This window comes from Homo sapiens, chromosome 16 (genome assembly GCF_000001405.40).
Source record: "Homo sapiens chromosome 16, GRCh38.p14 Primary Assembly".
In the NCBI taxonomy this organism is placed as follows: domain Eukaryota; kingdom Metazoa; phylum Chordata; class Mammalia; order Primates; family Hominidae; genus Homo; species Homo sapiens.
In genome coordinates this window covers 12,269,288-12,295,494 of record NC_000016.10, presented here as the reverse complement: position 1 = coordinate 12,295,494, position 26,207 = coordinate 12,269,288, and the positions used below count along the sequence as shown (strand labels likewise).

Below are 26,207 nucleotides of genomic sequence, written 5' to 3'. Positions count from 1 at the left end.
GCAGAAAAAGCAGGATACTGATGGGAAAAAATTAGCCACAAAGGAAGTTGTGAGAGTTGTTTTCTCAAAAACAAAACTAAGAAAGTGGTGGGCGACTTGGCAAGAAAAAGTCCTTGGGTTGGTAGGAAGAGAAGGAATGTTCAGGAATTCTGGCAACTTCTCCTGGGAGGCTGGCTTCACTGCCCCATGGTGGGGTGTGCGTATCCTTAAAGGGAACCGGTGACCCCGCTGCCTGTCATCCTAGGAAAGTCAACCCTGGGACGAGTAGAAGTGGAGAAGCAAGGACATGGGAAGGGATATGGTTTAGGTGTGCCCCGGCCCAAATCTCATCTTGACTTGTAGCTCCCATAATTCCCATGTGTTGTGGGAAGAACCAGTGGGGGGATAATTGAATCACTGGGGCAGTTTCCCCCATACTGTTCTTGTGGTAGAGAATAAGTCTCACGAGATGTGTTGGTTTTATAGGGAGAAATCCCTTTCACTTGGTTCTCATTCTCTCTTTGCCTGACGCCATGTAAGACGTGTCTTTCACCTTCTGCCATGATTGTGAGGCCTCCCCAGCCATGTAAAACTGTGACTCCATTAAGCCTTTTTTTTTTAAATAAATTACCCAGTCTCAGATATGTCTTTATCAGCAGCGTGAAAACAGGCTAATACAGGAAGGGACAGTCATCTCTTCCCGGGAGCTCCAGCTGTGTTAGGCCTGAACACAAAGGCCCAGAGAGGTCCAGGGCAGCTCTAGTTCTCAGCCAAGTGACAGACAGCCAGTAGGGAGGCAAGGAGCCAGCCTGGGGACATAGGCAGGTCTGAGCTGTTACTGAAAGGACCTGAACCTACCCAGAGAGGAACTGTGCTCCCCGCTGAGCATAGGCAAAGGGCAGGGAGGCGGGACCAGCTAACAGGGAACCATGATGGCGGCAGCATGAGCCCACAGCCATCCAGAATGCTACAGACAGACAGCAGAGGGAGGCGGGTGCCTATGGACTTCCCAGGCCTGGGAGTAGACAGGGTGAGTCTTTAGAAACCAAGAAGACTCATTCTCCCTGAGTAAGCATGCCGGGCCATTCTCAGCCCATCGGAGGGAGGAACGAGAGAAGATGTCCAGTGACCCTGTACATGACAGGGCTGAGGGCTGTTCCACTGAGAGTGACACTGTCTGTCCCCAAAACAGGCAAATGAGACAAGAGGGTTCCCCATCACAGCAGGCACCTCACCCAAGAGATGACGGGTGACAGGAGCCATGCATACAACTCCCTACTTGATCTATAAATGCTACACATTGGAAATGATGATTCCCAGGCCATAGACGCAGACATCTGAGGCTCACAGAGGTCAGGTGACAGGGCCCAGGCATGCGCCTAGAGCTAGGATTTCGATTCTCACATTCTGACCAGCAGTGGGGACTGACCGTCATCTCCTGGTGTTTGGATTCAAAGTTCTCCTCCCCGGAGAGTGGCTGTGAGCTTCAGGTCTGGAATCTGAGCACCTACATGACCCTGACCATCAGTAAGCACACCACACCTCAGTTTCCTCCTCTGTATAGCGAGGATGAGAGTAATACCGCCACACAGAGTAGCTATAAGGATCACATGAGATAAATAAAGTGCTTAGGAATATGCCTGGCACCGTATAAGCACTGAATGAATGCAAGCTTGCCAGCCTGATAAGGATTTTAACAATCATTGAGAAAGATATCTGCAGCTTTCCAAAAGAACAGAATGGCTCAAAATTAATTGATAAAAAAGATCCTTTGTACTTTATTTTTTTAATCTGTTCAAATATTCCCCCAAAGTGGATTAAGTAAAAAATGTTCAATATGTTCTTTCTACCAAGCTATTGGATGAAAGCACGCTATTAGTTGAGCTAAATAATTCATTTAGTTAATTTGCACTGTAATCAATCAGGAGAAGCTACAAAACCTCAAAGTCATTCCAAGTCCAATTTCAAGTCTCTTTCAGGCTTTAGAAACGTCTTCCACCAGAAGACAGTCATAAAATGTGTCAGGAAACAGAAACGATGAGCTTAACCTCTACCGCAGGCTGGCTAATCTTCGGAAACAAACACACTGTCTGAACAGCAGGAAAGCAGGATCACAGTCACTGCTGTTATCAGAACTGGGTCCAGACGTCAGCTCTGCCACTTGCTGACTATGCAACTCGGGATATTCTACTCAACCTTTCTGAGCCTCAGCATCCACCACCGCCTACCTTGCAAGGTTGTCGTGAAGATTAAATGACACGATGCATATGATGGGGTCAGGCGTGGTGACTCACACCTATAACCCCAGCACTTTCGGAGGCCAAGGTGGGAGGATCACTTGAGGCCAGGAGTTCAAGACTGGCCTGGCCAACATAGCAAGACCGCATCTCTTTGAAAATATATGTATAGTAATAAAAAGATGTATATGATGCCCCTGCAATGTTTGACACATAGTACATGCTTATTAAATGGTGTCAATTATATTAATTTAGATTTAAATAATTTGTCTATTCATTATTCATTCATTAATAAGAGTGAACTACTCTGGTGAAAATTTTGATTTATTCTACATAAGAAAGTTCCTCAGCTGGACGTTAGCAAAAATTCTTCTGTAAGAACTTAAACAAGGTTAGTAAAATCTCTGATCCTTACAAGCTTAACTAACACTAGAGCCACTGTGCCTTGTATCAGCCTCACAGAGGAAGAGAACAGGGAGGCAACAGAAGGTTTTAGATCCTTCAAATTAAACAAACAAGAATATCACACTATTAGAAGCAAAGTCCTAAGTCTCACTATTACATATCGGGGGATGTTTCTAAAATGGCGGGGCACCTGGAGTCAACGCTTTTTACAAGATGTCTTCCAAGCCAAACTGCTACAAGCCATTCAAGCTGAAAGTCTTCTGGCAGTGCCCCTTACAATCAACTAGAAGAGCACCTTTAAGAAACAGAAGCCTCTCAGCACCACTGACCTGACAAAACTCTATCTTCCTCAATGGGTCTGAAATGACTGGCTGGGGACTTAAGAGGAAATTCCTATCCAAAGGCCAAGAGCGGCCACGGGAGGAAGGTGCAGCTCTCCACATGCACCTGTGTTAGGGAGAATCAAGACACAGAAAAAACGAGGAAAAGGGAGAACTTTCCAATCCTACCACTTTCAGAAAAAGAAACATTAATTGTAGCATCTGAAACCTAAAAGACTCTCTCTAGTAGGAATGACAAACAGTGCTAAAAAAGGAACTATGGAGGCGTCTTGCCTCTGTCTCACTCTACGGTCTATCAGTCAGTTGCCACCTGACACGCCCAGGTGGCCAAACCTTCGCACCTGCTGTTCCTGCCATCTGGACTGCCCTTCCCCACCCTGTCTCACTGGCAAGGTCCTATTCTACCTGCAAAGCCCAGCTTCGAAATGAACATTTCTGCACTATCTTGTCTAATACACCCCAAACCACAACCCCTCCACCAGCAGATCTGACAGCGCCAATTTCCCTCTTCTTTTGATTCACTGATTGCTTGCTGCTAAAAATTACTGTTTTATGACGCTAACTCTACTAGTAGGCTGTGAGCACCCGAAGGCAAGGGAGAGGGCTGATTCTTCAATATATCCACTGATCTGGCTCTCACTCACTCTTCACTCACTCATCCATTCATTCATGCACTGAGCACTGAAGTGAACCTTGGTTTTCTGCCACCATGGCATCCGCTTCCCCTAGCAACAGTCCCAGTTTTCATCTGGGGATCCATCCCTCTCCCCAATCTCCCTTCTCCATGTCTCAATGGAGCTCTTCCCTGTCTTAGCACAAGCCAGATCCTGTGATCAGCTGAAAAGAGAGAATGGAACCTAAGTTAACTCTACAGAGTAAACATAAGGTTTTTGACAAGAATGGAGAGACTCTTGCTGTTTCCTATGAATGTGAACCTGGAAGAAAAACTATGTGCCCAGGGGTGATCACAGCCATCTGTGACCCTGAGGAGGAAAACCTACTGATATGGTTTGCCTTTGTCCCCACCCAAATCTCACCTTGAATTGTAGCTCCCACAATTCCCACGTGTCGTGGGAGAGACCCAGTGGGAGGTAACTGAATGATGGGGGCGGGTCTTTCCCGTGCTGTTCTCGTGACAGTGAGCAAGTCTCACGAGATCTGACAGTTGTATAAGGGGCTGCACAAGCTCTTTCTCTTTGCTGCCACCATCCATGTTAGACATGACTTGCTCCTCCTTGCCTTCTGCCATGATTGTGAGGTCTCCCCAGCCATGTGGAACTGTGAGTCCATTAAGCCTCTTTTTCTTCCCGGTCTTGGGCATGTCTTTATCAGCACCGTGACAATGGACTAATAACAGCTACCAAAAATGATGTCAACCCAGAAAGGGAAGAGGAAAGCACTAAAGAGAGAGAAACAGGAGCCTCGTAACACAGCTCAAGTATCAAGCATTTGCCACAGCTAAAGCCAGACTTTTCCTGAGGCCAAAGGATTACCTTCCTCGAGATTACCACGACAGGCTCGACTCAGTGGTAAATAACAAGCTGAATAGATACCATTCAATTCTTGCTCTTAAAAAGTCTATAGTGGATCCAGCAACACAACAGAGAAACTCTCCTCCAAGCAGTGACTCAGGGATCCAGGTCAGTATCATTTTCTAGCTATGCATCATGGAACACAAAGCTTCCAGAATCACCATGGCAGGGGAGCAAGAACCAAGAAAACTCATCCCCACTCTCCTATGCCTCAGTCTAGCATAACACTCATTACCTCTACTTTCAACCCACTGGCCAAAACTAGTCACACAGTCCCAAGCTACCCATAAAGGAGACTAGGAAATGCATCTGTCCTATGTGTCTACAAAAAGAAAAATGAGACAGACCTTGATAAATCACACAGTCTTTGTCACAGACAGCTTGAGCCAAGTTTTTTTATTCTGCAACCAAAAAAATTATTAAATCATACAAGCATCAACCAGGTACCAGAGGTCATGAAGGATGAACACAGGTAAATGGGACACATTCACGACACCGTACTAGGAGGATTAGGAGAGGTGACACAAAGGACGTGCAGGACACCTGGGGCAAACTGAATCAGTCTTCAAGAGTGCAGTGGGGTGATTTGAGAAGGCTTCCAGGATGAGATCTGAAAGATCAGAAGTCAGCCAGCGAAAACGGACAGGAAAGGGTTCATAAAAAAAGAACAGGGTTCCAGGTGGGACCTTACACCTGCCTGTGTGAAGGTCTGCAGTGAGAACACGTGCATTTGAGAAAGGAAAACATGCTCAGAGCAAGGTAAGAAGCATGACTGAAGAGGAAGGCAAGAGTATAGCAAAAAGGCTTACTTTAACATGTGAACATGTTACTTTTACAGGAACCTAAATGCTAAAGTGAGCCACTGGTAAGTTTTAAGCAGAAAAAGAAATGGCCCAAGTAGACTGGGCCCAGAGTAGTTTGTCATTGCCCGTCTACATGCATTAAATGCAACAAGTCCCTCCCTCCGCCCTGTCTCAGCGTTCTCCACTCCCGCTGTATCCCGTTTCTCCAGCTCCACACTGCCAGTGACGAGCCCTTTATGTTGCCTGCAGGCTGAGCTCATGCAGCATTCAGGACAGCCCTGCCCCTTCGCCGGGTGTATACTGAACTCTGAGCCCAACCTTGACAGGACTACATCTCTTTCACTCGCGTCCATCAAGGCCACACGACTCCTTCTGGGGACCCAGAAGTGGCTTCTTGAAGCCACTTCCCGCCTCAAAGAGGAAGGCAAATATAAAACAGGCCCAAAATAGTGTGGGTCTGAAAAGCTGAAAACCAGCCACTATAATTACAAGTATTTTTATCTATCGCCCAAAAAGGAGTATTGGATCATTTTCCAAGTGTTTCTCTAAGGAAGTTCATCTGTTCGTTCGCAAGTACTCCAGACTTCCAGATCAGAGGCACAACTGGAAATGAGGCTTCAGCAGAAATGGAAGCGAAACAGAACACATGGGGTGGAGAAACAGCAAAGATCAGGGCCCAGCGCCACCACCGGAGAGGGTGGTGACCTCACCAGGAAATGGGAAACGAGGTATCCAAGGTTCTGTGAGAGAAATCAAAAGATCAGCAAGGATAAACACTAGAAGGCTAGGGGCGCAAGCATGCCTGCACAGAGGCACAATTGTGACCTGCACCTGAACATGCCCCAGGCAAATGCAAACAGTAACTGAGAGGCCAAGGGAGAGGAGGGAAGAAGGAAGAGCCCTTGAGAAGAAGACAGTGCCAGTAGTGGACCCTTCTCCTCCTGCTGCATGGGCGGATAACCCCAGCACACAGGAACAGATGGGAACATCCAGTGAGCACAAGAGGCATCAGAAGGGGCCTGCCATCCAAGGCAGCACACACGGCTGTTTACCCAGTAAGTGCTCACATCAGAAACCGTGTCGCCAGCTAGAATCTGTTTCCATCCTCCCTCCTTATCTCTTCCATCGTTCTAGTTCTTGACAAGCTAATAGCCAGCATGTTTGTCACTGCATTCATTTTCCTGGCTCCACTTAGAACTAAAAGTTAGAGCTAGTAGGCAAGGCAGGCCTGATTCCTGTTTCTAGTCAGATACAGAGAAGGCCACAGAGGGCGATGGGAAGAGTACCAACTCTGGGGTCAGTCAGGGGGTCAAATCTTGCTTCTACCTATGCTAGCCCCATGACCTCGGGCAGGTGACTTAACCCTTCCAAGCCTCGGCTTCATCATCTGTAGGTATGCAGAGAACAATGAATCAAACAGTCCATGTAATGCAATTAACACAGTGCCTAAAAATAGAATAGCCCCTCAATTTGCACTAACTGCTATTACCTTCATTATCTTTTTTTTTTTTTTTTTTTTCCCCAGATGTCTCGCTCTGTCACCTAGGCTGGAAAGCAGTGGTGCCATCATAGTGATGCAGGACAGATAAGCCCCCAAAGAAGGGCTTAGCCTGCAAGGGTTCTTGGCTTTGTCCAGGAAAGAATTCAAGGGCAAGCTGGAGGTAGAAGAAAACAGCTTTATTGAAGTGGCGGTGTCACAGCTCCAGTGGAGTTACAGCTCCGGGACTGCTGCTGCAGAGCAGGGTGACCCCGCAAACAGAGGGTGGCAGCTCAGGGCAGTTTTGCAGTCACATTTGTAGGTACTTTTACTTATGTGTAGATTAAGGGGTCGTTTATGCAGAAATTTCTAGAGAGGAAGTATTAACTTTTGAGTCATTGGGTCATTGCCATGGAAAGGGGCCGTAACTCCTGGATGTTGCCATGATAATGGTAAACTGACATGGCACCCACGGGCATGTCTGATGGAAAGCTGCTTCCACCCAGTCCTGTTTTAGCTAGTAGTCAGTTTGGTCCAGTGTCTGAGTCCCGCCTCTGGAGTCAAGTCCCACCTCCTACTTCAATAGCTCACTGCAGCCTTGACCTTCTGGACTCAAGCAATCTTCCCACCTCAACTTCCTGAGTGGCTGGGACCACAGGCATGCTGATGTACCCAGCTAGTTAAAAAAATTTTTTTTTGTAATTACAGGGTCTCACTACATTGCCCAGGCTGTGACATCAATATCTATAGCTGCTTTTCATAAAATGCCATGAAAAACCTAACAGGTCACCAAGTACCACACATGTAATACACCCTCAAAAAACACTGGTAGGAGAAATTCTCTAGGATCAACAACCCAGGTTCTTCAACTAATAAATGACACGTAAGGAAGAAAGGGAGAGGCAGGGAGACACAGGTGACAGAACATATGGATTAAAAGACACTGAAGAGATCCATCACCAATCACGAGGTGGGGACCTTACTGGGATCCTGATTCAAACACCTGTTTAAACTACAAATTTGAACACTCACCAGATATTTGACAATACTAAGGAATTACTGCTAACTTTAGGGTGTGATAATGATACTACAGAGTTTTTTCTGTTTTAAAAAGACAGTCCTTGTAGTTTACTACCAATATATTCCTAACTACTTATGGGTGAAATCAACGTTGTGCTTTGGATTTCCTTCCAAACACTACTTGATGCTGGGGAAACAGGAGGGTAAGTGGATGAAACAAGACTGGACAAGAGTTGATAACTATTGAAGTAGGGTGATGAGTATATGGAAGTTCTTTATGCTCTTTTGCCTACTTTTTACCAGTTAAAAAAAAAATTTAAAAAAAACAGAGAGACACCTGTGAGATACAGCCTGCCTCCTCTTCCTTCAGAGACCTTCCTTAGGGAAGGAGTCTGTTTGTAAAGGAGACCATGCTGGAGGCTGGAAACCCATACGCTGGTGGAGCCTGCAGGCTGTGGTCACACCTCCTCATCTCCAAATCCCTCACTTTCCCAGGGCCTGTGTAGTGTGCTGCTGACATGACTATGTGTGTTGTTAACTGAAGTCAAGGCAGAGAGCCAAGCAAAGGGCACATCCAAAAGACAGAAAAGCTCCGAGCTTAGCCATCTTGCATAAATGAGATGCTCCAGTTCCTTGTTCGGGAAGCTGGGAAGGAGAAAGAGTGAGCCAGGGGCCCCCTAAAAGACGTTCTTAAAGAAGCTCCTCTCCCTGATACTCCAACCCAAGAATCAATGGGACTAGCACGAGCCTCTTTTAACAGGCTTTTTAAAGTATGACTATGGTATTGCAGTAATGTGGGGTTTTTAAAAGACCTCTTATCTTTTAAAGATAGATTCTGAAATACTCAGGAATGTAATAATATGGAACCTGGGATTTTCTTCAAAATACCATGAGAGGCTGAGGTTTGATGGGTGGGACGGGATACAGATGAAGCAAGACTGGCCAAGAGGTACTAACAGCTACAGCCAGGTGATGGGTACATAGAGGCTCATTACACTTTTATTTCTGTATATGTTTCAACTTTTACATAATAAAAAAATTTTAAGGACACCTTGGGGCCGGGTACAGTGGCTCACACCTGTAATCCCAGCACTTTGGGAGGCCAAGGCGGGTGGATCATGAGGTGAGGAGATCGAGACCATCCTGGCTTACACGGTGAAACCCCATCTCTACTAAAAATACAAAAAAATTAACCTCACATGGTGGTGGGGCCTGTAGTCCCAGCTACTTGGGAGGCTGAGGCAGAAGAATGGCATGAACCCGGGAGGCAGAGCTTGCAGTGAACCGAGATCACACCACTGCACTCCAGCCTGGGCAATACAGCAAAGCTCCATCTCAAAAAAAAAAAAAAAAAAATCCTTGGAGGTTTAGCCCTGTTAGTCATTCACACTTCAGTGGGAATTACACCTATCCTGCTAGAAACTATAACTTCTTACCCTTTTTCACTGATATATAGGAGACACTTAAACACTCCATTTTGCTTGGTAATCAAACTATATGAGGTAAGAGCCTGGTCTCAATCCACTCAGCTTCATGTGATTAAAAAAAAAAACAAACAGGACAGGCATAGTGGCTCACACCTGTAATCCCAGCACTTTGGGAGGCCGAGGTGGGAGGATCACTTGAGGTCAGGAGTTTGAGACTAGCCTGGCCAATACGGTGAAACCCTGTCTCTACTAAAAATACAAAAATTAGCTGAGCATGGTAGCGTATGCTACTGTGGAGGGGGAAGCAGGAGAATCACTTGAACCCAGGAGGCGGAGGTTGTAGTGAGCTGAGATCGTACCACTGCACTCCAGCCTGGGCAACAGAGTGAAACTCCATCAGAAAAATAAAAAATAAATAAATAAATAAACCTAACATCATACCTTTCATTTTGAGTATCAGTTTAATGTAGATCTCAGCTCAGAGTTTTTTATCCTGAGTCCTTATAAAAAATCCAGTATTTTATTGAAAAGCCCATGCTGCTCTTATACAAAAATGACTCCTGGACACGCATGAGAAGTGTTGGAACCCATTGGTGCCAATTTATGAGGCAGGCACTGGTGGTGTAACTGCTCCCAAGGTCCTGGCTGCTTCCGGAATTTTTACACTTTATTAAAATGATGATCACATTCACAGTTATCTACAGCGTGTGATTATGAGTGTATTTTTTACCAGCTTGATGTTCAAGCTTACTTTTCCATTAATAGCGACTCTGCCATTATAATGAGAACAAATGTTGCTAATACACCATTTATTTTACCCACAAGAAAAATTCAGGGACTAACCACACTCAGACAGTAAACGATAAGTGTCTTATAATTTTAAAAATCAATCATCAGCTAGCTGAGCCCTGCCATATGGAAGGGAGTAAAGTTCTGTTTGCAGAGGATGGACTGGCAATATTGAAGCAGAAGATACACAAGTGGGGCAAACAGCTAGAAAACGGTGCCGGCAAGCAAGAGCTGGGAGAGCCCGAAGACAACATGAGGGAGCTAAGCCCTGCTAAACAGTGAGTGGAAGGAGAACTGAAGGGAAACGGCATCTACTGATTACATACGGATACAAAGCTTTACCTAAGTGAGAGCACCGCTGGTAAGCAAAATAAACAGATTCTAACCTAAGCTAAAATAGAATTCACTATAAACAGGCAGAAAAGTGGGGAAATCAGGCTCAGAAAAGTAACTGAGGCCAGGCACAGTGGCTCATGCCTATAATCCGTCCCATCACTTTGGGAGGCCAAGGTGGGTGGATCACCTGAGGTCAGGAGTTCGAGACCAGCCTGGCCAACACGGCGAAACCCCATCTCTGTTAAAAATATAAAAAATTAGCTGGGTGTGGTGGCACGCATCTGTAATCTCAGCTACTCGGGAGGCTGAGGCAGGAGAATTGCTTGAACCTGGGAGGCAGAGGTTGCAGTGAGCTGAGATTGTGCCATTGCCCTCCAGCCTGGGTGACAGAATGAGACTCTGTCTCAAAAAAAAGAAAAAAAAAAAAGGAACCGAAACCAAAGCAGTTCTGGCAAGTTCAACACAGAAAACAATTAGAGTCTTATCAGACTCATTGCTATTAGTCTATTGAATAAATGCTTACTGTTAATTGCTATTGAATAAACGGCCTCCCAAGCATTGCTGCATTCTTATACAACTCCAGAGTTAAAGCCCCCATGGGCCTAGCTCAGGTCATGTACCCAGCCCTGAACCAAAACCAGGGCAAAGCATTTGGACATACTGTCCCACCCAGACAGCACGCTATGGTGGAGAGGGAAGCCCTCCAAAGAAAGTCAGGATGGAGGGGAGAAGAGGAAGCACAGAGACACCTCCTGTCTACTGCAGGCACTCAGCTGGGTTCTTATGTGTCATTCCCAAAACAAACCCACTCACAGGTATGACTGGCTGCATTTCACTAACAGAGAACTTGAGGCTTAGAGAGGTTAGGGGGCGTGCCCAGGAACATACGGCAGTAAGTGGCAAATCTGAACTCAGTCTGACACGCGATACATGTGCTTTCCAAGTCACCAGGCTGCAGAAGGCAGCGACAAAGTGATGCAGGCCCAAAGTCCGAATGTCGCCAACACTTCACATTGTTGTGAAGACAACTGCTGAAAAAGAATAGAACATCTCTGAAGATGAGTCCAAACCAAAGGAAATGTACTTAAAAGAGGTAAAGAAGCAAGAGTCTCAGAAGAGATCAATCTTGGATGTGTCCAATATCTTATCTTCAAAACCTTGGTTGTTTCTGTTCTGGTGTCTTAGAATTTCAAGAAGCATGGGGAAGTTTACAGAAGAAATTCTGAGCATCACCACTAACAGTCCCTAAGAAGTGGGGAGGAATTATCTAAAGAAGCTGTGGTTAGGTGCCAACCTCTGCAGAACTGCCGTCAAAGACACAGCTCCAGGCCTGTGGGTATAACCCTACCTCTGCACTTCAATTATCTGTCCTGACAATTAGAACAGGCACGTCTGCCTCACCCACAAGAATGCAAGCTCCCTAAACACAGGCACTGCGTCCCATTCATTTTTGTAACTTAGGACCACTCTTGGCATGAGGAAGAGCTAATGCAACTCACAGATGAAACACCAATGACTTTGCAACAGAAGTCGCTCTGCAAGTGGCTCATGCCTGTAATCCCAGCACTTTGGGAGGCTGAGGTGGGTGGATCACGAAGTCAAGAGATCAAGACCATCCTGACCAACATGGTGAAATCCCCATCTCTACTAAAAATACAAAAATTAGCTGGGCATGGTGATGCGTGCCTGTAGTCCCAGCTACTCAGGAGCCTGAGACAGAAGAAGCGCTTGAACCCAGGAGGTGGAGCTTGCAGTGAGCCAAGATCACGCCACTACACTCCAGCCTGGTGACAGAGTGAGGCTCTGTCTCAAAAAAGAAAAAGAAAAAAAAAAAAAACAACTCCATCTAGGGTAGTCAATGCCATTTCAGGGATGTCTCTGTTTCAACCTCACAACTTCCTTGGCTCATCTCCTACAACCATCAACACTGCTGCTCCCAGGGTAAGAAAAGCCACAAAGGGAGGAGAAAGGAAGCTAAGGGCTGGACACTGAGAAGGCGCTCAATGGATGTGCACAAATTGAGTTGGCACCATCTATTACTCAATGGTGTCCCCAGGCTCTCCAAGCTATGCCTCCTGCTAACATTAAGGGCCAGAGTAAAGTGTGCCTCCTCTCCAGAACCCATGTGCTCTTATTAGCTATCTAATCCTTTCTACCAGGTTGCTCTGAGCTCTAGTTAAGACTTAACTGTGGGCCGAGTGCAGTGGCTCACGCCTGTAATCCCAGCACTTTGAGAGGCCAAGGCAGGCGGATCACCTAAGGTTAGGTGTTCGAGACCAGCCTGGCCAACACGATGAAACCCTGTCTCTACTAAAAATACAAAAAATTAGCCAGGCATTGTGGTGGGCACCTGTAATTCCAGCTACTCAGGAGGCTGAGGCAGAAGAATCGCTTGAACCTGGGAGGGGGAGGTTGCAGTGAGCTGAGATCAGGCAATTGCACTCCAGCCCGGGCAAAAAGAGCAAAACTCCATCTCAAAAAACAAAACAAAAAAATACTTAATTGTGATGCCTTAGACAATTCACTCCCAATCTGAGGTTCTAGGACTCACATTTATCATTCTTTACGCATTACACAAGATGACTGAAGCCACTCAACAGGCTGGCCTTCTATTCAATGTTATGTTTCTCCTACTATATGCTGGAGATGGGTTGGGCAATGAAGATACAATTTAAAAGACAATGTCCGCACTGCCCTCGAGGAACTCTCACTCTGCTGTTCTGCTACAAGTTGCTTTGGAAGCAGGTAATCCTTGGCACAGACAAGATGTGCTTTTCCCCTTTCTTCTCCAGTAACAAAGGGTTTGTGATGTCCCCACCACCAGCGCCATCTCAAATGGCTGATATTGCTGCAGTTGCTGTTATCTACTACTAGTTTTCCCCCTTGTGTCCTGCCATTCATTCTCTTGAACATCGGTAGTGATCGTCTCTTCCGTCAAGTTAACCTTCTTCTTCAATGAGCTCAGCCTTCCAAAGCACGGCAGAGAGTTGTGGGTTTGCACTCTGGTGCTCAACTGTGAGGATTCAAATCCAGCTCTGCATTTTTTTTTTTTTTTTTTTTTTTTTGAGATGGAGTCTCACTCTGTCGCCCAGGTTGGAGTGCAGAGCCATGATCCCAGCTCACTGCAACTTCCTCTTCTCGGGTTCAAGTGATTCTCTGCCTCAGCCTCCCAAGTAGCTGGGGACTATAGACATATGCCACCATGACCGGCTAATTTTTGAGAATGGAAACAGATTCTATCTGGCAGACATAGTTTCCCCGTGTTGGCCAGGCTACTCTCGAACTCCTAGTCTGAAGTGATCCACCCGCCTCGTTCTCTCAAAGTGCTGGGATTACAGGTTTGAGCCACCACGCCCAGCCCCAGCTCTGCTTCTTAGCAGCTAAGGACTCTTGGGAAAGTTACTAAACTTCCCAAAGCTTTGTCTGTGAACTGGAGGCAGCAAGAGTGTCCTCCTCAAAGAACTCTTCTCAGGATCACATATGTTCATCTACGTAAAAACCCCAGCACAGTGCCTGGATCTAACAGTACTCACCTGACAGCTGCTGCTAGTATTACAGGGGCTGTGATACTACTAGTGCTTTTACCCTTGCCAGATTAATGTATACCTGCCAGAATTCTCCTGTCCTCCTTGTTTTCCTGAGTTAACAACCACAGGGTGTCAGGAACAATTTTTATACCTCCAGTCCTTGGCACAAGATGCCCACCAGCCATTTAAAGAGGGCTTTATGGCACCGACTTTAGGTTCTGTGCTGTCCAGGACACTGGATTCCAGGTCACCAAGCACAAATGTGTAGTGTGTATGTGCAGATAGATGAGTTGGCTTTCATGCTCTCAAAGACACCTAGATAAAAAAATTCTCAGAAACTCCCTTCGCACTGGGATGAATCACCATGTTTAAGGTGTTCCAAATATCCTTATTATCTAAAATGAGATGGACTGGGCACAATGGCATACACTTGTGATCCCAGCACTTTGAGAGGCCGAGGTGAGAGTATTGTTGGAGGTCACAAGTTTGAGACCAACTTGGGCAGCATAGCAAGATCCCATCTCTAGAAAAAGTAAATTTAAAAAAATTAGCTGGGAATAGTGGCACATGCCTGTAGTCTCAGCTACTTGGGAGGCTGAGGTAGGAAGATCCGTTGAGCCGGGGAGGTTGAGGCTGCAGTGAGCCAAGGCTGTACCACTGCACTCCAGCCTAGGCGACAGACTGAGACCCTGTCTCCATAAATAACTAAATAAATACAATGTTTCTTCTTCTTCCTTTGCCCTTCTGACACGGAAAGAAACTATATCAACTTTTCCCCTCACATTCGTTCATTACTCTAACAAGTCTTTACAACTATTTTGGTAAAAATCAACCCATTAACAGAATGACAGAAGCATCACAAAGAACGTTCTGAGGGTCTCGATTAACAGCAAAAGTATTGGTGTAGTGAAATGCTAATGCTATTCACAGATGAAAGATCACCGGCAGAACCTGTCTTTGCAACCAAAAAAGAAGGAAAAATCAATCCGGTGCAGTAAATGCCGTTTGAGGACATGTCTGCTTCAACCTCACACTTCTCTCAGCTCGTTGACCACAGCCAGCATCTCTACTGCTCCCGGGATAAAAAAAACAAACAAGAAGGAAAAGAAAGGAAGCTTGAGGCCAGTAAGACGAACCTTCATGCCTCAACCTTGAGCCCTCCCGTTTGGTGGTTCCACACTCACCCTCTCACAGCTGGCCAGAACGGCCAGGCAGGTGGACCCTGCAGTAACTCCCCACATGACCTGATCCTCTCCACACATCTCAGCTCAGGTCAGCACAGCAGGGGATGAGATTTTCACATGGTCAAAGCAAAGCGGGTGGTGACACGGCCAGGACACAGCCACAGCATCACCTTTCTCCCCTCATCTACTCTGTTCCCGACCCGTGAGTCTCCTTTCAGTTCCTGCCAATGCTTTCCTTGTACTCAGCCTCTGTTCTTGCTGTTTCTGATGCAGAAAGCAGGCATCTCATAAACACTGAAATAAATCATCCAACCACCCGGCCCACGAATGAACTAGTGGCACTTGGCTCAGAGGGTCAAACACCCAATCAATCAGAGGGTCAAACACCCCCACCCCACCCCTACACGCTGCCCAGCAGCCCCACAGGTGGAGAATCTCCACGGAGAGCGCTGCCTGGACCCAGCACTCAATGCCTTTGTGGACCCTGCGAAGTAGGCACCCTCACTGAGCTGCACTGGTCTGATGGAGTCCTCACCACAGCACCCTTGTTCCCCCAGAGGAACAGAACCTTTCATCCTGCACTTTCATTCTGAGAACCCTTTCACCTTCTCTAGCTCATCAGGCCTTCATTCATTCATTCAGTAAATCCAGACATCCCCATCCCAGGAGAACTTAAAAATTCAAGGGTTACGCAGCACCTACCATTTGCCAATAAGTGGCTGTGGAACGTACAGAGGTGGCAAAGACACAGTCCTACCTTTCAGGGGTTCGAATCCTGACACAAGTCGTCCCAATCCTGAGATTGGGGCCCTGCTTCCCTCTCCACTTGGGACTTCCGGGCACAGACTCATGGCCCAGAACCCTGGCACTGCCACCAGCCAAGTCTGAGTCTCACAGCCCCACTGAGGGAGCTCCCAAGGAAGGGCAGAGCACTGGGCAGAGAGCACACAGGAGTGCCCTGTCCCCAGGCCTCCCCAGCCTGGCTTTTGACTCATCCCCACCAACCTGTGTGTTAAGGCCTCAGCTTGCCTTCCCTTGAGCTCACCTGAGTTAGAATGCAAGCTGTTTCTAAAGCCACCTTCCTTCTTTAGAGGCAATTTAGAGACCAGACAAAACAGATGGTAAGAATGGCAGCCTGCACCAGCAATGAACTTAGGGGAACACCCTCCAAGGCCCTGGGCCTCTGAAACCCACCCAAGCTCAGGTATGTCTACACAGCAATGAGCGAGTGTCTTCTTGATTATCAAAATAAAACTCACTGTAGAAGATTTAGAAAGAACCGAAAGTTTGCTTGTATACTTAGCATGTGTATGTATGTACATACAGACATGACTTACAATACTACCACCAAGGGACCATTACAACATGTACACACACCTCATCAAAAACATAGCTTCTCAACTTTACCATTGAATATGGTAATAAATCAATGGTTTTTGAAAAACCTCTTTATCATATCCAAGAATTACCCTTTTTTTAATCAGGTATCAATAAGGTTATAAAATGATTTTTCATTTCCTACCAAGATAATTATCTGGTTGTCCTCTTTGAGGCTACTAATGAGATGACTTACATGGATGAATTTCCCAACATGCAGCCATCCTTGCAATCCTAAATAAACCCTATGTTTTATGTGCACTGTTCTTTTAATATGCGACTGAATTTGAGTAATGACTTTCTAGAATTTTTGTACATCTTATACACAAATGATTCTATTTGATAGTTTTCTTTTTTATGCTATCTTTGTCAGGATTTTTTTATATCACAGTAATGCATACCTGAACCAAGATAGAGACGTATAAAAACCCTCTCAGGAAATATAAATAGCAAAGGGCTCTTTGTGTATTACCTTGAAGAGTTTCCTAGAAATCACCATGAAACCCTCTAGGCTTGCTGTCTTCTAAGGAAGCAGTTCTTCAGTAATTTGTACAACTTTATTCCAAAATGTTTTGGTTTTTTTTTTCTTTTCTTTTGAGGGTGAGGGGGTCCCTTCGACCAGTTTGCCTCATCTTCAATTAATTCTGATAATGAATGTTTTTCTGAAAAATAGTTCACCTCATCCATATTTTCACATTTAACAGCACAAAGGTGCATGTGATATTCTCTGTTTTCATCTCCAAATCTTACAATTGTTTTATTTTTAATGTTACACATATATGTTTTCTCTTATGTCCTTATCATAAGTGCCAAAAAGTTCCAATATTTAAGTGACATTTTTCAAAGGATCAGCTCATACTTCTTTTTATAAAGCACACTGATTTGGTCTTGCTTTGTTTTGTGGGGCTGAGGAGTTGCTTGGTCGTTTTGCTCACGTGTCTTTAGAATAGGCTGGACCTACCCTGGAAAGTCTCCAACGCAGCCAACATCAGAAACAAAGACACACAGACTCCACCGGCCTTACCTCGATGAGCTTTCTTTCGTAGGAGCTTGCGAGTTCTTCAGCAATTTCTCCCGGCTTCTGTTCAGCTACTGTAACTTCTCCATCAACACTCCAAAGATTTGGCACTTTAGAGAAAGAGAGACATGTCATAAATATTTCAACAGTATCGAAAATTATTCTCCCAGTAAAAAAAGAAAAAATTCTTCTTTCTCAGATGACTTCAGACTGAAAAAGCTCTCAAGAAAAACACACACACACACTTACTAACTACTTCAACAATGGGACATTTTCACCTAAGTACAATAAAACGAGTGACAAGGCCAGGAATGGTGGTGTGCGCCTGTAGTGTCAGCTGCTCAGGAGGCTGAGTTGAGAGGATCGCTTGAGCCCAGGAGGTCGAGGCTGCCATGAGCTATGATTGTGCCACTGTCATCCAGCCTAGGTGACATAACTAGACTTTGTCACTTAAAAAAATAAAAAGCGATAAGCTGTATTTTTAAAATGCAAGAACTGTCATGAGACAGAAGCACAGGAGTCAAGAAATAATCTTGTCACTACTTTCCATTTCAGGAGAAAACAGGCAATGTTTTGGCAGGTTTGGCAAGACATAAGAGCTGGTTGTTTTGGGGGGTGGAGGTTTTGTTTGTTTTTTTGAGATGGGGTCTCCTCTGTCACCCAGGCTGGAGTATAGTGGCACAATCAATCATTTAGCTCACTACAGCCTCGAACTCCTGGGCTCAAACGATCCTCCTGCCTCAGCCTCCTGAGTCACTGGGACTGTAGGCATAACCCTGCTGCAGCAGGCTAGTTCTTTTTTTGTTTTTTTAGTTTTTGTAGAGACAAGGTCTCACCATGTTGACCAGGCTAGTCTCAAACTCCTGGCCTCAAGTGATCCTCCCTCCTCAGCTTCCCAAAGTGCTGAGACTACAGGTGTGAACCACTGCATTCAGTCCACTTACATCTTTTATATTTGCCAAGTTCCTTTTTCTACAACAAAAAAGTGATCCAGTGAGGTAGGGCCTGCTGACAGCCAGCTGTGGAGCACTAATGGGGGTCAGAGTATGTGTAAAACCAAGGATTGGTATTTATAAACCATACTTAGGATGACAGCAAGAAAACCTTTAGAAAAACTCGGAAACCAACACAGAACGTCAATGCAAAAGACATGTTAAAGAGACTGGCTCCCAGGTCAGAGCAAGCATGCACACAAACGGCTCTGAGTAGTGTTTCCATGATTATGTATATGCCCATATATGCCCACTCTGCAGGGAAAAACAAATAAAGAAAAGCTGAGAATGAACCAGATAGTTCCAAGAAAAGCAGAAAACAAGAACAGGGAAGACCTCCCACACCAAGGGCAAAGAAAAACATCCACAGCATGTTTAAGAATGTGGATTAGCCTCAAGCCTCAAAACAAGCATCAATGATGCAGGATCAGTTTCCTGTGTGTTCTGGGACAAGAAATCCCTTGGATGCCCTATCAGCTGTATGGAGGGGCAGTGAGGCTAAACAAGGATCTGAGACTAGCCCCCCAGTGATGCGGGTAGCCTTCAGGAAGAAGGTGAAAGTCAGGAAGGCTGAGCAAAACCAGGAGTCAAAACTGATGCAACTAAGCCAGGTGGCTAAGCCTCCTCAGACCACACTGTTAGAGCCCGCCGAAGGCTCAAGACCCTGAGTGACAGCAGGAAACACGCAGAAAGAAGCCCTGAGTCCTGGGCCACGAATGCAGGGAGTGACCCAATCACAACAGATAACCCCAAACAGTTATGGAAAGAAAAACTGTGAAGAACTCTGTAAAGATGAGAGCCTGAACACAGTAATTTACACTCACATCCTCTCAAAATCCCATTAAAATGTCAATTAAGGCCAGGTGCGGTGGCTCACACCTGTAATGCCAGCACTTTTGGGAGGCCAAGGCGGGTGGATCACTTGAGGTCAGGAGTCCGAAACCAGCCTGGCCAACATGGAGAAACCCTGTCTCTACTAAAAATACAAAAATCAGCTGGACATGGTGGCATGCTCCTGCAATCCCAGCTACTCGGAGGGCTGAAGCAGAAGAGTCACTTAAACCAGGGAGACGGAGATTGCAGCGAGCCGAGATGGTGCCACTGCACTCCAGCCTGGGCAACAGAGCAAGACTCTGACCACGCCCCCCAAAAAAAAAAAAAAAAAAAAACAATTAAAATGTTTCCTATGAGGTGATGATGAATATGGTAAGTACCCAGATTTGATCATTAAATTTTGTATACATCTATCATAATATCACACACTACCTCATACATATGCACAATTTATTATGTGTCAAAAATAACAATAAAAGCAAAAAAAGGTTTTTATAAAGACATCGCTCACAAAAAAAAAAAAAGAATTGGAGAGGAAACAAAAAAAACAAAATTACAGAAGCTAAGAATCAGGTAGATGACTGATAAATAACTTGACAGACCTGAGAAAATTTCATTCCTAAACAGACATGGATGCCACCAAAATAATATCTGATGAGAATGGAATGATTCATAAAACGCTAATGAACTGTTAGCACAAGACACCTCTGGAAATGACGGTGAACACAGGACTAGAAAGCAAAAGAAAGGTTTTAAAAGTCTGTTTAAGAAGCGATTAGCAAAATATACATGTTTATTCTCTGGAGAAAACGCAGTAGGTCTGGACTGAGTTGAGGTTAGGGTATTCCATTTTTTTAATGGAGACATAAAAGTAACACACACTGAACTTCTGAGTTTCTCCCATTCTTCTTCCCTCTCCCCAGCCCCACTCATTCCCAGAAGAGCAGGCAGACAGCATGTGCCTCTAAGCCAGGGAATGGAAAGGTATTCTCCCAGGAATCTAAAAAAACTTTGGAGACCAGGGGTAGTTCTCCAGTGGAATGGCACAGCCAGATCACCCCAAGAGGCCCAAAGTCAAAGTTCACGGAGCTTTGGATCAATTTCTAACCCCATTCCAACACCTGAGTAGACATCTAGAAATCACATCCCATTTGAGAAAAGCACCTAAGATGAAAGACTGAGACAGGAATAAACAGAGAAAAGCAACTTGCAGGAAAGAGAGACTATTTAGGGAAAACACTTCAAAAGCAAACTGTGGGTAATATTTCCAGAGAGAGAGGAGGAGACAGTGTAGTCATGAAATAAGAATACGGAGATATTTAAAAAGGAGAAAAAGAAAAACACAAAGCACACAAAAGCCCTTTTACAGAGTGAAACTATAACAGCAGAAATAGAACAGGGACTGTAAAGGAAAGGGTAGCAAAATTTCCAGAAAATAGAGGCAACGAATAACAAAATAGAATACAAGCCTGGGCAACATGGTGAAGCCCCACCTCTGCAAAAACCACAAAAATTAGTATGGTGTGGTGCCACATGCCTGTAGTCCCAGGTACTCGGGAGGCTGAGGTGGAAGGATCGCTTGAGCCTCGGAGGCAGAGGTTGCAGTGAACTGAGATGGCATAGCTGCACTCCGTCCTGGGCCACAGAGCAAGACTCTGTCTCAAAAAAAAAAAAAAGAGGTGGGGAGAATAGAGAACTACAAGTCCAAATGGAGAAGAGATCAAGAAAGGAGAAAAAGATAACACACAGAAGAGGAAATCAAAGATATAATTCAGAGCCAACAGACACGAGGGGCAGGATGGAAGAGTTCAATGAATGTCCAGCAAAATGGACAAAAGCAAGCCTCACTCACAGACTTGAGAACACAGGGGACAGAGAAGACAGGCTACCAACTTCTGAAGTGGAAGAAGAATTTTTACAAAGGATAAAAACTAGAAATGGCATAGGGTTTCTAAACAGCAACATGGAAAGCTAGAAAACAATGAAGAAACCTCTTCAACATTCTGAAGAAAAATTATTTTGAGCCTTATACACCCAGGCAAGCCACGTGAGAGGCAGGATAAAGGCATTTTCAGACATGTGACCGTGCAGAAACTTTACCCCGCACATAAAGAAGGGAAGAATTCTAGCAATCGTAATACATAGATCCCAAGATATAGGGGATGCAACACAAAAGGGAGCCAGAGAATACTTCATAGTAACAAAAAAGCATAAACAACCCAAATGGCCATCACCTGGTAAGTGAACAAGATGCGGTCTAGCCATGCAGGGTTGTACTATTCAGCCATGAGAGGAATGAAGAGCAGACTCACGCTGCAACACAGATAGACCGTGAGAGCATTCAGCCAGGGGAAAGAAGCCAGATCCGAAAGGCTGCAGATTACCTGAGCCCACGTACACGAAATGTCCAGAGAAGGTCTTAGTTGCCAGGGTCTGGGGGAAGGAGGGATGAAGACCCTACTGCTAAAGGGTATCAGGCTTCTTTGGGGCATGACAAAAATGTTCTGGAATTAGAGAGTGGCGATGGTTGCACAATTTGTGAATATAAAAACCACTGAGGGTCGGGCTTGGTGGCTCACGCCTGTAATCCCAGCACATTGGGAGGTTGAGGTGGGCAGATCACCTGAGGTCAAGTGTTCGAGACCAGCTGGCCAACATGGTGAAACCCTGTCTCTACTAAAAATACAAAAATTAGCCGGGCATGGTGGTGTGCGCCTGTAACCCCAACTACTCGGGAGGCTGAGGCATGACAATCACTTGAATCCGGGAGGCAGAGGTTGCAGTGAGCCGAGATCCCACCATTGCACTACAGCCTGAGCAACAAGAGGAAAACTCCATCTCAAAAACAAACAAACAACAACAAAAAAAAAAAAACAAAAAACAAAAAACCACCACTAAAATTATGCACTCTCAAAGGCTGAACAGTATGTTATGTGCATTATATCTCAAGAAAGCTGTTAAGAAAAAAAGTGAGTTGGAGAGTGTGGGCCCACCAGCAGCAGGCTTCTGGCTAGAGTAGGCCAGAAGGCACCAGGAGAGACTGCCTTGGGTGCAAGCGGGAGGCGGCCTACAGTGCCTGAAGGCACCAGGGGGATTAACACACTGAGGATGAACTTGGAGTTGAATTAAGTATTAACACCAGAGAAATCAAGAGATCGTGCAGGAAAAACGATCATGCACTTCACAGCTGTAGATAGCATTTCCAGTTATAATAATGTAATCACTGAATACTGATCTAACCAAAATGATGATATGACTGTGCCAGAGGATGGGGAGCTGCGTGTTGCGTGTGTTTTCTGGAGGTGGAGCAGTCAAAGACAGTTACCCTTCCTCTTCCACGATGAGAAATAAGTAATTCCAAAAACTGAAAAATAAAAAAGCGGCAACAGGCGTGTTGATCAGAGATATGGAGGCAACAACCCAAAGCATGAGTGGAAAAGCTTCCAAGAGGGGCTTCTGAAGGGTGGCAAGTGGGAGACAGTGACAGCCAGAGGCCTCCTGTCTTTTGTAATAAAGCTAAGAGAACCAATGACTTTATCTATGTACCTGCAAAGTTTTGATTTAAAGACACAAACAAAATTATGTGTAAACTATGATTATATGTTAGTGATATGTAAACTATGTAATCAGAATTTGAGGGGAGCCTGCACTTAGCCATGGGACTTAGAAAAGTCAGGTAAGAGAGCAGTGGAGCCCGTCGGCAGGGCAACCAGGACACAGATACCTTGGCAGGCACCGCAGCATGAAGCTGGCTGCAGCTGCTCAGCAGAGCCTGGTGCTAATACATACGCAAAATGGCGAACTCACAGCCCTGCTCTACCCGTGACTCCAAATGATCTCTTCATCTTGCCCAGGCCCAGGCTGCTGCCCTCTGCAAGGAGGTCCTGCTCATCACAATTCATTCAACCCGCTTCAAGTCCACACATCTCATTAGCAATCACGCCACTGGCCTCCTGTCCCCAAGGCACTAGCCCCGTCCCCAAGGCACCAGCCCCTCTAGGACTATATTTAAGAAGAATCAGCAACCTTCAACACTGGTGGGGGCAGAGGTGCAGAAATAAGCTTTTTGACCTTAAAGGCTTGGGGAAAGACCCTGGACAGTCATGAATTTACATAAGTTCTCTCAGCAACTAGCCAGTCAACCTTCCCCTGCAACTACCTGACTTCCTTGCTGCCCTGGTTCAGTTTTAGCAAGCATGCCAAAAATTTCAATTCCATGTATGAAATAATACAAAATTAAGCCTAACTATATCATACTTTTCCCATCAGTAAGCAGCTTCGAAGATGGACCCCAGGCAGGGCACAGTGGTTCACACCTGAAATCCCAGCACTTCGGGAGGCTAAGGCAGGCGGATCACTTGAGGTTAGGAGTTCAACACCAGCCTGCCCAACAGGTGAAACCCTGGTCTCCACTAAAAATACAAAAATTAGTCGGGCATGGTGGCACATGCCTGTAATCCCAGCTACTCAGGAGGCTTAGGCAGGAGAATCACTTGAACCCAGGAGGCGGAGGTTGCAGTGAGCTGAGATCACGCCACTGCACTCCAGCCTGAGCAACAGAGTGGGACTCTGTCTCAAAAAAAAAAAAAAGATGGTTCCAATATATTACATTCAACAAAGATGGTTCCAATTCCCCCTGCCCCTTGGTATTCACATTCTTATATAATCCCTACCCCTTGAGCATAGGCTGGACTTACCTCCAATAAACAGACTATGTTTATTGACTCACCTCCAATAAACAGACTATGGCAGAAGTGATGGGGTTTCACCACTGAGATTAAGTTATAAAGACTGCAGCTTCTGTGTGAGGTTGCCTTTCTTGTTCATTTATTCTTACGAGCTTCCTACGGAGAGAACCTCATGGCAAGGAACTGATGCACGCAGCCAACAGCCCCCATGAGCCACATGAGGGCAGTGCACACTCCTCCAGTGGAGCCTTGGGACAACCGCAGCCTCCAACTGACACCATGACAGAGCCTTAGGGGAGACCCTGAGCCAGGCATGTGGCTAAGCCACACCCAGGCTGTCTATCCCACACAAAGATTGTAAATGTTTGTTGTTTTAAGCCATCTAACTGTGAGGTAATTTGTTACACAACAATAGTTAACCAACGTAGAGTCTTTAATCATTCCATAGTTACTTCTTGAGAGACCACTTTATTTATTGATTGATTTTTTTGAGAGTCTCGTTCTGTTACCCAGGCTGGAGTGCAGTGGCGCGATCTTGACTCACTGCAACCTCCACCTCCCCAGTTCAAGCCATTCTCCTGCCTCAGCCTCTTGAGTAGCTGGGATTACAGGCACACACCACCACGCCCAGCTAATTTTTTGTATTTTTAGTAGAGATGGCATTTCACCACATTGACCAGGTGGGTCTCGAATGCCTGACCGCAGGCGATCTACCCGCCTTGCCCTCCCAAAGTGCTGGGATTACTGACATGAGCCACTGTGCCCAGCCGAGAGACCACTTTAAATTAGACTGAGTTAGACCATGAAGTGACGGAGATGGTGATATCATTTCATGTAGATGACATGCACAAAAAAATAAAAATATAAATATAAATAAGAGGTAAATGTGCCATGTTGCTCCACAGCATAAGGATTAATATTTACAAAGTGAGGGAATCGACTGAACAGGTTAGACATCTCCCATCTCTCAACTGCCAAAGGTGAGTATGTGGGGTCAAGGCATGAGAGACCATTCATCCCATGAGGCTAAGTTCATGCAAGCACAACATCGGATTTACTTTCAAGTCGAGAAGGTTCAATTTGCCTTGGGAGTAAAAGAACATCTGGGTATTAAGGAAGGCAGCACAATTAAAGTCTGAGTAACGTCAAGTCATTTGAGAGGCAAAAATAACAGATGACAACACCATTCTACACTCTTTGCACATCCCCCCAATAAACCAATCAATTCGTAAAGAATCAATTGTGACTGAATTCTGAAAGTCAAACCTAAACAATAAATACAAACATTTGCAACTGATCAAACTACAACTTTTCTAAGTCGCATCTTTCCTGAGGGTGATTTATGGGTTTTAAAACTGAAAGAACGGGGCTGGACGTGGTGGCTCACATCTGTAATCTCTAGGACTTTGGGAGGCCAAGGTGGGTGGATCACTTGAGGTCAGGAATTTGAGACCAGCCTGGCCAACATGGTGAAACCCCATCTCTACTTAAAATACAAAAATTAGCTGGGCGTGGTGGTGCGTGCCTGCAGTCCCAGCTACTCGGAAGGCTGAGGCAGGAGAATCGCTTGAACCTGGGAGATGGAAACTGCAGCGACCCAAGATCGCACCACTGCACTCCAGCCTGGGCAACAGAGTGAGACCCCATCTCAAATAATAATAATAATAATGATGATGATGATGATGATGATGGTGATGATGATGATGATGATGTAAAGTAAAATGGAAAGAATGACAATTTAATACCCCAAGAGAAAAACATACTTCTCTATTCATGTCGATGATAGCTCACACTGACTTCAAAAATAGAAGGCTTCAAGACATTGGTTAGCAATGCAATCTGAAATGCATTAACAATTTCTGCCCATATTCTGAGTTACCTTGACAGTGTTCAGAAATTTGTATTTTGCCCTGGTCAAGGACCGCATGAAAAGTACACCTGCTGGAATCCAAGAAGACAGAAGCTTTTATCTACATGGCTGGATACTTCCATGTTCAATCAGAAACTTACATTGTGCTTTAAGCACAATGTAGAAAGATAGGTCAGTAAGACCTATCTTATTGTCACAGAAATCAAAATAATGATACTGCTTCAATTTACATAGCACTGCAGATTACACAGTATTTTCACATCAAAATCTCACTGGAGCCTCCAAGCAGGATTCAGTCTGGCCATTTTAATCTCGTGCCAAATGTGAAGATGGTGATGCTATTAACTGGGATTTCCCATTGAGCCAATCAA

General features: G+C 45.3%; 1 protein-coding gene across 21 annotated transcripts in view, besides 1 other annotated feature; it reads right to left on the bottom strand.

The window, feature by feature from the left end:
• Nucleotides 1-26,207, bottom strand: part of SNX29 (sorting nexin 29) — a 597,554-nt gene that overhangs the window by 278,793 nt on the left and 292,554 nt on the right. For all 21 annotated transcript variants that reach the window (XR_001752024.3, NM_032167.5, XM_017023874.2 and 18 more), the window contains one exon: nt 17,459-17,562. Coding sequence is in view for 20 of the 21 variants with exons in the window: in NM_032167.5 (NP_115543.3) it covers nt 17,459-17,562 (104 nt within the window). In the remaining variant the exon portion in view is untranslated. Of the gene's footprint in view, nt 1-17,458; nt 17,563-26,207 lie in introns of those variants that run through there.
• Nucleotides 11,070-11,199: an enhancer, noted in NCBI's record as "active region_10466". NCBI's record gives its function as "activates an Ori minimal core promoter by ATAC-STARR-seq in GM12878 lymphoblastoid cells {active_cell/tissue: GM12878}" and the evidence as "EXISTENCE:reporter gene assay evidence [ECO:0000049][PMID:35858748]".